Here is a 15,269-nt window from a genome sequence, read left to right on the forward strand (position 1 = left end):
CATGCCTGGCTAATTTTTGTATTTTTAGTAGAGATGGGGTTTTGCCATGTTGGTCAGGCTGGTCTTGAACACTTGACCTCAGGTGATCCACACATCTCGGCCTCCCAAAGTGCTGGGATTACAGGCATGAGCCACCGTGCCCAGCCATATTTATTTATTTTCATATGTTGAACCAGCCTTGCATCCTAGAAAATAAGACTACATTACTGTGGTGGATAAGCTTTTTGATGTGCTGCTGGATTTGGTTTGCAAGTATTTTGTTGAGGATTTTTGCATCAATGTTCATCAAGGATATTGTCCTGAAGTTTTCTCTTTTTGTTGTGTCTCTTCCAGGTTTTGGTATCAGAAAAACACTGCCTTCATAAAATGTGTTAGGGAGGCTTCTCTTTTTCTAGAATTTTGGGAGTATTTTCAATATAATTGGTACCAGCTCTTCTTTATATATCTGGTAGAATTTGGCTGTGAATCTCTCTGTTCCAGGGCCTTCCTTGTTGGCTGTTTTTTTAAAATTACTGGTTCAATTTTGGAACTCATTATTTATCTTCTCAGGTATTCAATTTCTTCCTGGTTCAATATTGGGAGTTTGTGTTTCCAAGAATTTATCCATTCCTTCTAGATTTTCTAGTTTGTGTGCACAGAGGTGTTTACAATCATCTTTGAAATTTTTTGTAAAAAATATTTCTCTTCCCTTTGGCATTTCTGATGGTGCTTATTTGAAAGTTCTTTCTTTTTTTTCTTTGTTAGTCTTGCTAGCAGTGTATCAATCTTATTTATTCTTTCAAAGAACAAGTTGTTTGGTTTCATTGATCTTTTATATGGATTTTTGTGTCTCTATTTCATTCAGTTCAGCTCTAATTTTGGTTATTTTTGTCTTGTGCTAGTTTAGGGGTTCACTTACTCTTGTTTTTCTAGTTCCTCAAGGTGTGATGCTACATTGTTAATTTAAGATATTTATATCTTTTCGATGTTGGCATTTTGCCCCATAAACTTTCCTGTTAATACTGCTTTACCTGTGTCCCAGAAATTCTGGCATGTTGTATCTTTATTTTCATTAATTTCAAAGAATTTCTTGCTTTCTGTCTTAATTTCATTCTTTACTCAAAAGACATTCAGGAGCAGGCTGTTTAATTTCCATGTAATTGTATAATTTTGAGAGATCTTGGTATTGATTTCTATTTTTATTGCACTGTGGTCTGAGAGTGTGATTGGAATGATTTTTAAAAATTTGTTTAGAATTGCTTTATGGCCAAGTGCATGGTTGATCTTAGAGTATGTGCCATACATATGCAGATGAAAAGAATGTATATTTTCTTGTTGTTAGGTGGAGTGTTCTATAGATATCTCTTAGGTTCATTTGGTCAAGTGTTGAGTTTAGGTTCGGAATATCTTTGTTAGTTTTCTGCCTTTATAACACCTTTAGAGGGGTGTTGAAATCTCCACTATAATTTTGTATTTATCTAAGTCTTTTTTGTAGGCTCTAAGAACTTATTTTCTGAGTCTGGATGCTCCAGTGTTGGATGCATATACATTTAGATAGTTAATCTTCTTGTTGAATTGAACACTTTATCACTTTGTTACACCATTTTTTGTCCTTTTTAATTATTGTTTTAAAGTCTGTTTTGTCTGAAATAAGAGTAGCAACCCCTGTTCTTTTTTGTTTTTCATTTGCTTGGTAGATCTTTCCTTATGCCTTTACTTTGAGACTATGAGTGTCATTGCATTTGAGATGGGTCTCCTGATGATAGCATACAGTTGGGTCTTGCTTCTTTATCCAATGGGCTACTCTGTCCCTTGTAAGTGGGGCATTAAGCCTGTTTATATTCAAGTTATAATATTGATATGTGAAGATTTGATCCTGCCATCATGTTGCTAGCTGGTTATTCCACAGGCTTGATTGTATAGTTGCATATAGTGTCAGTGGACTATGTAATTGTCTTTTCTGTGGTGTCAGGAATTTTTTTTTTTTTTTGAGACCGCGTTTTGCTCTTGTTGCTCAGGCTGGAGTGCAAAGGTGCAATCTGAGCTCACTACATCCTCTACCTCCTGGGTTCAAGCGATTCTTCTGCCTTAGCCTCCTGAGTACCTGGGATTACAAATGCATGCCATTACACCTGGCTAATTTTGTATTTTTAGTAGAGATGGGATTTCGCTATGTTGGCCAGGCTGGTCTTGAACTCCTGGCCTCAGGTGATCTGCCCACCTCGGCCTTCCAAAGTGCTGGGATTACAGGCGTGAGAAACCATGCCTAGCCAGGTAATGGTCTTTTGTTGCCATGTTTAGCACTCTCTTAAGGACTTTTTGCAAGGCAAGTCTGGTGGTAATAAATTCCCTTAACATTTGCTTGTCTGAAAAAGATTCCGTTTCTCCTTCGCTTATGAAGCTTAGTTTGGCTGGATATGAAATTCTTGATTGGAATTTTTTTCTTTAAGAATGCTGAATATACCAGCCTGGCCAACATGGTGAAACCCCATCTCTACTAAAAATACAAAAATTAGCCAGGCATGCTAATGGGCGCCTGTAATCCCAGCTATTCGGGAGGCTGAGGCAGGAGAATTGCTTTCACCTGAGAGGCAGAGGTTACAGTGAGCTGAGATCATATCATTGCGCTCCAGCCTGGGTGACAAGGGTGAGACTCTGTCTCAAAAAAAAAAAAAAAAAAAAAAAAGAATGCTGGCTGAGTATAGGTCCCCAATCTCTTTTGGCTTATAAGGTTTCTGCTGAAGGTTCTGCTGTTATCCTGATATCACCCCCTTTGTATGTGACCTGTCCCTTTGCTCTACTGCTTTTAAGATTTTTTCTTTCATGTTGACCTTGGAGAATCTGACGACAAGGCGTCTGGAGGATGGGTGTCTTGTATGTTATATCTCTGGGGTTCTCTGAATTTCTTGAATTTGTATGTTAACCTCTGCAGCAAGATTGGGGAAATTTTCAGGAACGATATTCATAAATGAGTTTTCCAAGTTGCTTGCTCTCTCTCTTTCCTTGGGGATGCCAGTGAATTGTAGATTTGGTATATTTATATAATTCCATATTTCTTGGAGATTTTGTTCATTAAAGAATATCTTTTTCTTTATCTAACTGAGTTGATTTGAAGAACTGGCCTTCAAGTTCTAAAATTGTTTTCAGTTTGATCTGTTCTGCTGTTAATACTGCCCATTGTATTATGAAATTCTTGTAGTGAGTTTTTCAGCTCTAGGAGATCAGTTTCTCTTCTTTTCTTTCCTTTTTTCTTTTCTCTCTTCTCTTCTCTTCTTTTCTCTCAGAGTCTCACTCGGTTGCCCAGGCTGGAGTGCAGTGGCAAGATATCGGCTCACTGCAAGCTCCGCCTCCCGGGTTAATGCCATTCTCCTGCCTCAGCCTCCTGAGTAGCTGGGATTACAGGGGCCCGCCACCATGCCCGGCTAATTTTTTTGTATTTTTAATAGAGACGGGGTTTCACCGTGTTAGCCAGGATGGTTTCGATCTCCTGACCTCGTGATCTACCCACCTTCGGCCTCCCAAAGTGCTGGGATTACAGGCGTGAGCCACCGCGCCCGACCCTGATTCTTTCTTAAAATGGCAATTTCATCTTTCAGCTCTTGTGTTATTTTATTGATGCCATAAGTTCCTTAGACTGTGTTTCAACTTTCCCCTGAATCTTGATGATCTTCATTGACATCTGTATTCTGAATTCCATGTCTGTCATTTCAGTCTGGTTATGAACCATTGCTGGGGAGCTAGTTCAGTCATTTGGAGGTAAGAAGACACTCTTGCTTTTAGAGTTACCAGAGTTCTTGCATTGGTTCTTTCTCATCTGTGTGTGTGAAGTTGTTGTCCTTTGTATGGAGCTTTTTACTTTTATATTCTTTGATGCCTTTTGTGGTTTGATTGTGGTATTAGTTGTGCTTAGTTAATTTCATTCGTTTTTGGATGATTTCAGGGGTCCAAGGGTTAGCTCAGCACTCCTGGGCTGCATGCTGTACCAGGCTGTAACCTTGGGAAATTGGGACCAGGTCTGAGGCGGTTTTCTCTAGCCCCTAGAGGTTAAGTACCTCCTGGGTTGGAAGGAATGAGGTGTTCCTGGTCCACTGGCAACAAAACTGTGCTGGCAAAGGCACTTTGGCGGGGTGGCAGTGGGTCAGTGAGGGTCCTTGTGCTCACATACGTGCTGGTCGTGGGGTAGTGGCAAGTCCTGCACAGGCATGCGTGCTGGTGGTGGGGCAGTGATGGGGTCAGTGTGCATGCATACACCAGTGAGTCAGTGGCTGGAGGCTGCAGGCAAAGGCATGACAGCAAAGCAGCAGGTAGAGGCTGCCAGTGAGTGCATGCTGGTGGGCGCTCACTGACAGGGACCTGCCTTCAGGAGCTCTCCAGCTGTTAGGCAGGGTCTGCCATCAAAATAGCAATGGCTGTGGCTGTCAAAAAATGCCTTGGCTGGGCAGCTGAGGCAGTGCTGCAAGTTTGTGTAGCCAGGCAGGGAATTTGGCATAGGCCAGCAGACAAGCGAGTGCTTGGATCAGATTGTTCCCATCCCACAAGCAAGAGAGCCCTGTGATGTCCAGGTCTGTCCATCAACAAAGGCGAAAGCCACCTAGAGATGTATGATATTTGGGGGATGGGCACCCATGCCATGCTCTGCTGTAGCCATTCTCATGCCAAACCCTGTGGACTCTGTGCAGGCTAGAATTCTGTCTCTTTCAACTCTCCAGGCTGTTCTCCCTGCCACCTTAACTGTCCATGGGGGATGAGGGGTCTCCTGCAGCTAAGATTCTGGAGGTCTGTGGTGTGAGTTGGCCACTCCATGACCATTTAACTTACTCCTTCCCCAGGAGCCTCTCCAGGCCAGGAACAAGTTCTGGTGCTTGGCAACCCTGTGCAGGGTTACCAGCTTCCTTCCCTTTCAGCCTGGGGTCTGCATTCTCCTTCCATCAACTCTCAATGCCTTCTTTCTGAAAATTTGTTCAGAGTGTGCCAGTCTTCTTGATGGTCTGGTCCCTCACTGGGAGAAGGTCTTCTTGTCTGCGTCTGGTCGGCCATTTTGTTTTAGTATTTATTAAATAATGAAATAATAATAATTTGAAAAAATTAAATTATTATTATTTAAAACTCTAGATCTTATTTAAATTTTCTATTTAACCATGCCTCAGCAGACATTGTGATGCAGAGGGAGGGGGATGTATGAAGGAATTGCCTCATTTCCCACTCAGCTTCCTTTGATGCTCAGGTGAGGGACTAATGCTCATTACTACTGCATGGAGGTTAGGCCTCTTCTGATAACACTCTGGCTGAAGGTACTTTGTTACTGCTCCCCTTTTGGCCTCCACTGACATCATGGGGTAGTGATTTCATTACTGCTTCGCAGTGGTGAAAGACTTGACTTCCCACTACCTCTCCTCAGACATGGTTCTAGTAGATGGGGAGAGTTATTCCTCATTACTGGGTGGTAGTTCATGCTTCCCACTCAGCATATTCTTTTTTTTTTTTTTTTTTTTTTTTTTGAGGTGGAGTCTCGCTTGTTGCCCAGGCTGGAGTGCAGTGGTGCCATCTTGGCTCACTGCAACCTCTGCCTCCTAGGTTCCAGCAATTCTCCTGCCTCAGCCTCCTGAGTAGCTGAGATTAAAGGCATGTGCCACGACACCTGACTAATTTTTGTATTTTTAGTAGAGACGGCGTTTTGCCATGTTTGCTAGGCTGGTCTGAAACTCCTGATTTCAGGTCATCCACCTGCTTCAGCCTTCCAACGTGCTGGGATTACGAGTGTGAGCCACTGCACCTGGTGCCTATTCAGCATATTCTGACACCAATCTAGTAGGGAATTGGGCCTTCTTACAGCCTGGTAAGCATGGAAGTCTTTTCAGTTGGGATTTATTGTCTTCCTGGATTTGCTGTTTTCCCAAGTTGTCCTCTTATTGATTATTTTACTAGGGAGAGCAGGATTTTCTTGGAGCCTTTTAAAAAACTTGCACTTGTTGGCAGGTTGCCAGGTTGCTGGCTTCTTCCAAGTCCATGATATATGAAGCAAAAAAAAAAAAAAAAAAAAAAAAATTGAGAGAGCTCACTCTTGTATCATTCCTTTTGTCCTGCATTTCTGAGCCCACCTGTCGTCTTCTCTCTAATTTTCAGAGTCTTTTTATGTTTGTTTTATTTGTAATGCCCAGGTATTTTTTTGTTTGTTTTAGCCATATTTAGCTGGGGAAAAAAGAATAAGTAAGTCTGTCCCATATTGGTCTGGAGCGTTTACATATTTTTGAAGCCGGGTTTTGTTTTCCAGTGTTTGGCTATTGCCACCAATTTTGTGCCTTTGGTGGATACAAAAATTTTGACCTCTATGTCTTCATGTGCATCACTCACAAAATCATGGAGGGGGCCAATAACTGGTTCCTTCTGTGTGTCACTAAATGCTTTCATAATTTTCATTTTGTGATTTGACAGAATTTTTGTTTAATGTGCTTTCTAAGCCCTATAGTTCTCTTCAGAATTCCATGTTACTCTGTGTGCTTTCTAATCTGTATTCATAAAATGGTACCATTAATTTCTAAGATTTTTTTTTACAATTTTTAATGTTATTCCTTTCATGCTTTCGCATGAACACTATCTGTATTGCCTTCATTTGCTCCACCTCATTTAATTCCCTGTTGGCATCACTATAGTTCTTTCCCAACTTTTACCTTTGGGTTAGTCGTTTTAGCAATGTTCAGTTTGCTACATTAAATTCTTTTATTCAGTTGACCTTTGTTTATACTCTGGCAAATGCCCAAGTTTAGACTCACTTCATTTTGTTTCTTTTTCTGTGTTTCCTAATTGCTCCTGGAGGAACACACGGAACAAAGTAGATTGGTCCCATTACCACACACTACTAAAAATTCCTTCCTAACAATTGAAATTGATTCTGTAATTCAATCTCCTGAAATGAATTCAACTTAAAAGATGACTTGAAAATATACTTGATCCTTGTTATTTGCAGATTCCATATTTGCAAATTCACCTACTCACTAAAATTTATTTGTAACCCCCAAATCAATACTCAAGGCACTTTTATGATCATTCACAAGCATGCACAGAGTGGCAAAATATCTTATTACTCAATGAGCATATTCTTACCTGAGGTTGAAAAATGTGATACTGTGCCTTTTTGTTTCAGTTCTCATTCTGTAAACAAGTGTCTTTTCTTGGTCTACATAGTGCTACATTTTTCACATTTTTATTATCTTTGCTGGCGATTTTGCTGTTTAAAATAGTCCCCAACTGTAGTGCCAAAGTATAGTGCAAGAAGGTTGTGATGTGCCATATGGAGAAAATATGTATATTTGGTAAGCTTTGTTTAGTTATAAGTTTTAGCGGTGTTTACTGTGAGTTTAATGTTAATGAATCAACAATGTATATTAAATAGAACGTCTTTAAACAGAAACACACACGAAATCTGTTTATGTCTTGAGCAGTTGACAAAAATGTGACCAGAGTCTCCTGGAAAACCAACCCTGTATTTCTCCTAAGAACAAGGACTCAACAGTCATTAATTCAGCATTTGTGGTGACTTCACAGAACACGACTACCATGAATAATGAGAATAACCTGTATTTTATTTGTCTTCTTGACGGTCATGGAATCATTGATGGTTTAGATATTATGCTAGACCTTCTTTTGTCCTAATCATCATCATCCTACTTGCCTCCAACTTTCCTGAAACTGTTGAAAACATCGTGCACTTTTACATTTATGATCATCCATTATTTTCTTTATTCAACTATCTCGGTTTCTATAGTCTCTATAGTAATGTCCTTCCTAAAAATTTCAGAGAAACAGATGTATGCCCTCTTAATCTTTTATTTTATAATTTTTATTATAAAAATTTCAATGGTATGCAAAAATAGGGAGGATAAAATAATGAACTTTCATGTACTCATCACCTAGTTCAAAAATTTACAACTCATGGCCAACCTTACGTTATCCGTACATACCCTGATAAAATCCCCTCATCCCCTTTCCCTACCAAAATATCAAATCTATTTTGAAGTTAATCCCAGATGTTATATACTTTCATCTGAAAATGTCCCCATTCAAAAATACTATTTTGATGGTGATATTAGAGGTACACGCTTTACAAACTTTGTGAGCTACAGAAGAGAAGCCAAATTTGCCCTATGATTACAATATTCTACTTTCTTATCTCTGGGAAGACATGGCACCCATTTTTTTGGGGGGGAGGGATGGAGTTTCATGCTTGTTACCCAGGCTGGAGTGCAGTGGTGTGATCTCGGCTCACTGCAACCTCCACCTTCTGGATTTAAGCTATTCTCTCGCCTCAGCCTCCTGAGTAGCTGAGATTACAGGCAACCGCCACCACACCAGACTAATTTTTGTATTTTTAGTAGAGACAAGGTTTCACCATGTTGGTGAAAAATTCCTTCCTAGCTTCCAGGCTGGTCTCAAGCTCCTGACCTCAGGAGATCTACCTGCCTCAGCTTCCCAAGGTGCTGGGATTACAGGTGTAAGCCATCTTGCCCAGCCTCCATTTAAAAAATGTTCATGTCTAGCATCCACAGTTTTTACCACTTGCCTTGCTCTTTATATTTTAATATCACAAAAACCACTAATAACCTCATATGTAAAAATTTTTCCTTGAATCTCCTACTGTTTCTCATCTCAGTGGTATTTGGCGACCTTGCCTTTCTTAAGACATATCCCTTGTTTGAATTTCATAATTCTGAAATTTGCTGATTTCTTTCCTCCTCCTCCATCTACTCATTTCTGGCTGTATCCTTTGATTAATCTTTCTCTCTCTCTCTCAATCTGGCTATGCTCAAGATTCAGATCTCAGATAAAGTTTTTATCTGCTGTCTATATTCTCACTCAAAGAAGCCATCTTTTCTTTGAACTCAGCTATCACCTTAATGAGTGCCAAACCTGTGTCTCCAGAATTCAACTCTTGCCCATATTTAGTCTTACATTTCTACCTACTTCAAAGTGATTTCTATTTATATATTTTAAGTTCTTAATAGGAAATGAAAATTTGTATATGTGCCATTTGAAACTCAACAGGCATCATGAAATGTTGCCTGGGTTTTTAAGTTTCTCGCTCATATTATTAGGGTTCACTATTAGAGTTTTTTTTACTCTTATGTTTCCTCCACATGTATTCAGTTAAGTCCTAGACTATTTTCCCACTTTACCATATCTTTTATGTTTATTTCTTATGCCCCTATTATTTCTGTTAACACCCTAATCTATTCCCTCATTTCTTTGTGTCTTAATACTTCCACGGCTTCCTGTTTGGCTTCTTCCAATTTTAGAAGTTTCTGAATACACTTCCTGTTCTGTTTCTCACTAAACCATTCACTAAAAATAACAGGATTAATGAGACAAATAGAGATAGAGACAGACTGGTCCCTCAAAAGCTATGCAACTTTATAACTGAAGAATTAACAAATATAATAATTGGTACCTTTAAAAATAGCTTGCACAGTGTAGGCAGGCAAAACGCCCAAAGTCTGGTGGCTTACTCAGGGCATGTTAAAAATGCAAAGAAAAATAATGTGGAAACACAGGTTTGCTGGTGCTAAGGCAATATACACAGGGAAGTGTAGTCCTGAGCAGAAGAGGAAATGCAACCTAAAACTGATACAAAGCTAGGATACATCTCTCTGGGGAGGGAGTTTTGGGTACAGGCACTCAGGCATTTTCTTAAAACAGTGCCCCAAATGTGTCTGCCTGTGTAATAGCTGAGTTGAAAGGGTTTTCCTTTTCTTCTGAAGTTTATAATTCCACTCCCATTATTCTGGCTCCCTTGCCTAAAAAAAAGCATATCTAAACCATCATAATTTCCATCTTCTACTGACATAACTCTGCCATTCACTAATCAAATGTGAGCTAATTAGTGCTGGTAGAATAGACTCTATATTTTTTTCTATTTGATACTTGCTGGACATCACCTTACTTTTCAGCTTGTAATGCTATTTACTGCTATTTATATACTATTATTTATATTATTTACTATTTGTATACTGCTATCTCTTTAAAATAATTATTTATTCTCGGACTCATTTATTCCTGTCTCTTATGCTGATTAAAGCTTTGTTTTCTCTTGTATCTTCTATTTCTCTATCCTGATTTTCTCTGCCTGCATATAGACTTGGGATTTTATTATCAAAATTATTTATTTTTGAATAGCTTCATATGGCATATCTTATTTCTATAAGCAGATTGCAGGTTTCTAGAGGACAAGATCCATGTGTTTATAATACTCTTTTTATATCTCCTCCTACATACGAGGGTATCAGTAAATGCTTATTGGTTAGTTGATTTAAAATCACAAATGTATTATTTCAAATTTACTATTATATTAGTTAATTTTTTAAATGGACAAAAGAAAATTCACAAGGAAGTTAGCATAACGTAGGGAAAAAAGCATGGGCTTCTGAATTAGATCGCTCTGGATTCAAATTCGGGGTCTGCCACTGATTAGCACGTGATCTCAGGCAAATTACTTAATGTTTCTGAGTTTCAGTTTTCTTAGTAACCCAGAAAAAATTAACCTAGTTCTATGTTTTTTGTAAACAAGAATTACATGAATTAATGAGATAATATTTTAATCAATTAAGAACTTCATAGAGTGAGTATGAATACTTAATGGGTGGTCAATAATTAGAAGCGCCAGGATCTTGAGGAATAATCAGCCAGTACCTCATTATTACAAGCCATATAAAGAATCAAAACTCTGGAGTTTGCAGGATATAAATAATGAGAATTTGTGATTTTATATATGCATTTCCTAAGTTCTGCCTTTTGCTAGACTAAGCACTTTACATTCACTGTCTTACATCATCTTCATAGCACTCATCACAGGTAGGTATTATTAGGAGCATTTACAGATAAATAAATTAAAGGTCTTAGCCAGCATGGAAAGGCCAAACTTGAGATAGAAACCCTGGTGTCTGACTCTAATGTCTGTTTTTTTTTGTTTGTTTGTTTTTTTAAAATCAGTAATAGACTCTTCACTCCCTTTTTTGGGGGGTTATGTTACACTAATAAAGAGTATAGACAAAATAATTAGGGAGTTATTTTGTCAGATGTGTCACATAAGTTAAGAGTACAGTTCTTCAAAGAGATGGAGGCTTCAATCTCATTGTTTTGAAGGTTTCAAGGTATTTCAAGGTTTCAAGGTTTCAATCTCATCAGTTTTCAAGGTATTGGAGGTCCTCTTTTAGGTGGATAACTGACATAGATGGAGAAAATCACTTATGCATGCGAACACACGGAATACTTTTGAAAATTACCCCTTTCATTACATTCTTAAGTTAGAAAAATAGCCAATTCCTCTGTAATGAACTGAATTATGAATTACTAATTTCTGTCTTCTCCTTTAGGGTGACTCTGGAGGACCACTGGTTAGTTCAGATGCTAGAGATATCTGGTACCTTGCTGGAATAGTGAGCTGGGGAGATGAATGTGCGAAACCCAACAAGCCTGGTGTTTATACTAGAGTTACGGCCTTGCGGGACTGGATTACTTCAAAAACTGGTATCTAAGAGAGAAAAGCCTCATGGAACAGATAACATTTTTTTTTGTTTTTTGGGTGTGGAGGCCATTTTTAGAGATACAGAATTGGAGAAGACTTGCAAAACAGCTAGATTTGACTGATCTCAATAAACTGTTTGCTTGATGCATGTATTTTCTTCCCAGCTCTGTTCCGCACATAAGCATCCTGCTTCTGCCAGATCAACTCTGTCATCTGTGAGCAATAGTTGAAACTTTATGTACATAGAGAAATAGATAATACAATATTACATTACAGCCTGTATTCATTTGTTCTCTAGAAGTTTTGTCAGAATTTTGACTTGTTGACATAAATTTGTAATGCATATATACAATTTGAAGCACTCCTTTTCTTCAGTTCCTCAGCTCCTCTCATTTCAGCAAATATCCATTTTCAAGGTGCAGAACAAGGAGTGAAAGAAAATATAAGAAGAAAAAAATCCCCTACATTTTATTGGCACAGAAAAGTATTAGGTGTTTTTCTTAGTGGAATATTAGAAATGATCATATTCATTATGAAAGGTCAAGCAAAGACAGCAGAATACCAATCACTTCATCATTTAGGAAGTATGGGAACTAAGTTAAGGAAATCCAGAAAGAAGCCAAGATATATCCTTATTTTCATTTCCAAACAACTACTATGATAAATGTGAAGAAGATTCTGTTTTTTTGTGACCTATAATAATTATACAAACTTCATGCAATGTACTTGTTCTAAGCAAATTAAAGCAAATATTTATTTAACATTGTTACTGAGGATGTCAACATATAACAATAAAATATAAATCACCCATTTGCTTGACATTATGATATGATAATCCACAAAGAAGGGGAAGATGGGAAAAATGTTACTAGTCAATTTATTGTAAATTTTTTTAAAATTTGAGGCTAGGATGAAAATTAATTTAATAACAATCAGCATGCTTATGTACTAAAATAATTGTGTTGTGGAATGGGAGGGAACGAAGAGTTCAAACAATTGACTGGAAAGGTTTTATTCATCTAAGACTTTCCCAAACAGCAAATCCTTGAAGGGAATGAGATCCAGGTGTTAGTGTACAGTCTAGTCATGCAACTGAACTGGGGCTCAGACCTCTATTTTGAGATGATTGTAGATATTTTTCTTCCCCTGCTGCTGTGTTTACAGTTCATACATGGTTAATGGTCCTGTTAGACTCCTCTTCGCTGAGATGGAAAGATACCATAGAGAAAATATCCTGGAAGCTGCCTCACTGCTGCATCTAGTGTGACACTGAATGGCTAACTGCCTGGATAACAAAACTGAAGAGTAAAAGCATGATATTGGCCACCTTCATGATTTTTAGTTTTGGTAAATTATTACTGAGCTGTTAGAGACACAGCTTTCAAGTAATCCAGACCGTAATGAAGTTAGGACTGGTACCATGATGTACGGCATGTTAATGGTGAGATTTCACCAAGTCTGTCCTCATTGCATATAGCTACTCATATAAGTTCTATATTGTACAATAATTACCCTGAAAACCAGTATTGCCACGAAAAATTTAAGTTTATTGATCTGAATAACACTGGAGTATGAACTGATAACATTTAGGCACTTGGCAAAAATATGAAAACTGACATGAATTGATAGTGCTAAATATTTTGCATAAGCTATTTTTGTTTCATTTAGCAAAATGCTCTGGGAAAAAACAAAATTGAGGAAAACCTTGAATTTTAAGCAAGGATATAAGTACCTTTAAAACTACTCTCAGTGTTCTGTTAAAAATGGATTCCTCTTGTTTCAGTGTATTCTGTAGTTGGGCCTCTAGGTGGCACCCACAAGCTGTAGGAAGCTATGGGGAAGCCTGACATCAAGAAGGATGTCTAGATCTGTAAGTAATAATGAGAACTGTACCTGAAATTAGAGTCTCGTGAAACCAAAAGAATACAGTTTTTCTTTGCAAATGGCGTTTAAAAATTAATTCGTGTTGATTTACATCATTATTCGTATTTTTCAAATTTCTGGACATTTGATTCCAAACTAAAATAAAATTTATGTTGCATGATTTGAGGAACTCCCTCTGCAAAAGCACCTGGAGCAATTTAAATTAAGAAGAAATTTTAAAAGCTTAATTTTGCAATGACATCTTATTCCTAAGAGAAATACTTTTGATATTTCCTTCTACAAAGGATTTGAGAAATAGAAGTTTGGGTCAAAGTGAAAATATGAGCGATAGTTCAAACTTTATGTACATAGAGAAATAGGTAATACATTTCTAAAATGGTAACTTCTTTTGAAAAGTAATTACCAAAGGGTTTTATCTGCATGTCTGTGTTAACTGTTTCATTGGAGATAGTTAAGAAGATGTGACGATAATATTTATTACTTTTTTCAAGAGGGCAGGCAGTTCCTCTTCTATATCTTCGATCTCTCTTCCTACAGCACTAGTAAAGTACTCTGTATATAACAGTCCTTCAATAAATGTTGTTGAATGACTCTTTTATTTTTACATTATGCAGAAAACATAGCTTTATTATTATTTACACATTGATTTTTAAAAGTAATCCCAGATTTTACACTGAGTGAATTAAGCCGGTTACTATTTATCTAAGCCTATAATCTCACCCGTAAGATAGAGATGATATTTGCTCAAATGATTGTTGTGGAAATAAAACTGTGAATGTTTAAAAAGTGCTTAGCACAGTTCTTGGAACATTAGTAGGTGTTCAAGAGACCATAGTAATAATAACTGTTGCTATAATGAAACTACACTCTTGTTTTAAAAAATATGGTATTTGATTATAACAGGCTGAATACCTTTTTTTTTTGAAATGACAAGATAATTAGACCAACAAAATGTGCTAGTTAAAAAAATTTCTGATTCTACAAAAAGTTTTACTGGGATAATTCCGAAACATATTTATCAAAGTGGTCTGTCAATGTGAGGGTTCATTCTAACTTTTGACTTCAATTTTAAAAAATGATAAACTTTATTAACCACCGAGTGGCTGGATTATATCAAGATCTATGGTGTAGTTCAAATGTCGCCTCTTCCCTGAAGCCTTTTTTTACTTCCTCAAGTGGATGTACTATACGTTTCTTCTGAACTTCCTTACCATTAATTTTTTTTATTTTCAGATAATCATTGATTCAGATACGGTTAAGATATAACTGTAAGATATAATTCACAGAGATTCTGTGTACCCTTTACTCAGTTTACCTCAATAGTAAGATCTTGCTTAGGTGTAGTATAATATTACAATGAAGAAGTTGACATTGAGACAATCCATTAACTTTATTAGGATGCAATCAATTATATATGTGTGTGTAGGTGTGTGTGTAATTAGTTCTATGTAATTTAATTACATATGTAGATTCATGTGATTACCAAGATACAGATAGTTTGTTCACAAGGCTACATCACGCTACCGACAGCCATCCAGCTCCCTCCCTAGGCCTGTGTCTAGTCTCTAATCCCTGGCAACCACTAATCTGCTCTCCATCTTTATAATTTTTATTGTTTCAAGAATGGTATATAAATATATTATACAATATGTAACTTTTTCAGGTTGGCTTTTTCGCTCAGTATAATTTTCTTGAGATCTGTCCAAGTTGTTGTGTGTGTCAGTAGTTAATTCTTTTTTTATTACTGAGTAGTATTACATGATAGGGCTGTACCTCAGTTTGTTAACTGTATACCCACTGAAGGGCATTTGGATTGTTCTCAGGTTTTGGCTATTACAAATAAAGCTGCTATGAAGATTTGTGTGTAAGCTTTTGTGTGGACATAAGTTTT

General features: G+C 37.4%; 1 protein-coding gene across 3 annotated transcripts in view; it reads left to right on the forward strand.

Moving 5' to 3' along the window:
- Positions 1–12,304, forward strand: part of TMPRSS11E (transmembrane serine protease 11E) — a 50,142-nt gene extending 37,838 nt beyond the window's left edge. For all 3 annotated transcript variants that reach the window (NM_014058.4, XM_011531896.3, XM_047450139.1), the window contains one exon: positions 11,343–12,304. In NM_014058.4, the coding sequence (NP_054777.2) occupies positions 11,343–11,504 (162 nt within the window). In that variant the 3' untranslated portion in view covers positions 11,505–12,304. The remainder of the gene's footprint in view (positions 1–11,342) is intronic.
- Positions 12,305–15,269: the final 2,965 nt, after the last annotated feature.

Source organism: Homo sapiens, chromosome 4 (assembly GCF_000001405.40).
Source record: "Homo sapiens chromosome 4, GRCh38.p14 Primary Assembly".
Taxonomy (NCBI): domain Eukaryota; kingdom Metazoa; phylum Chordata; class Mammalia; order Primates; family Hominidae; genus Homo; species Homo sapiens.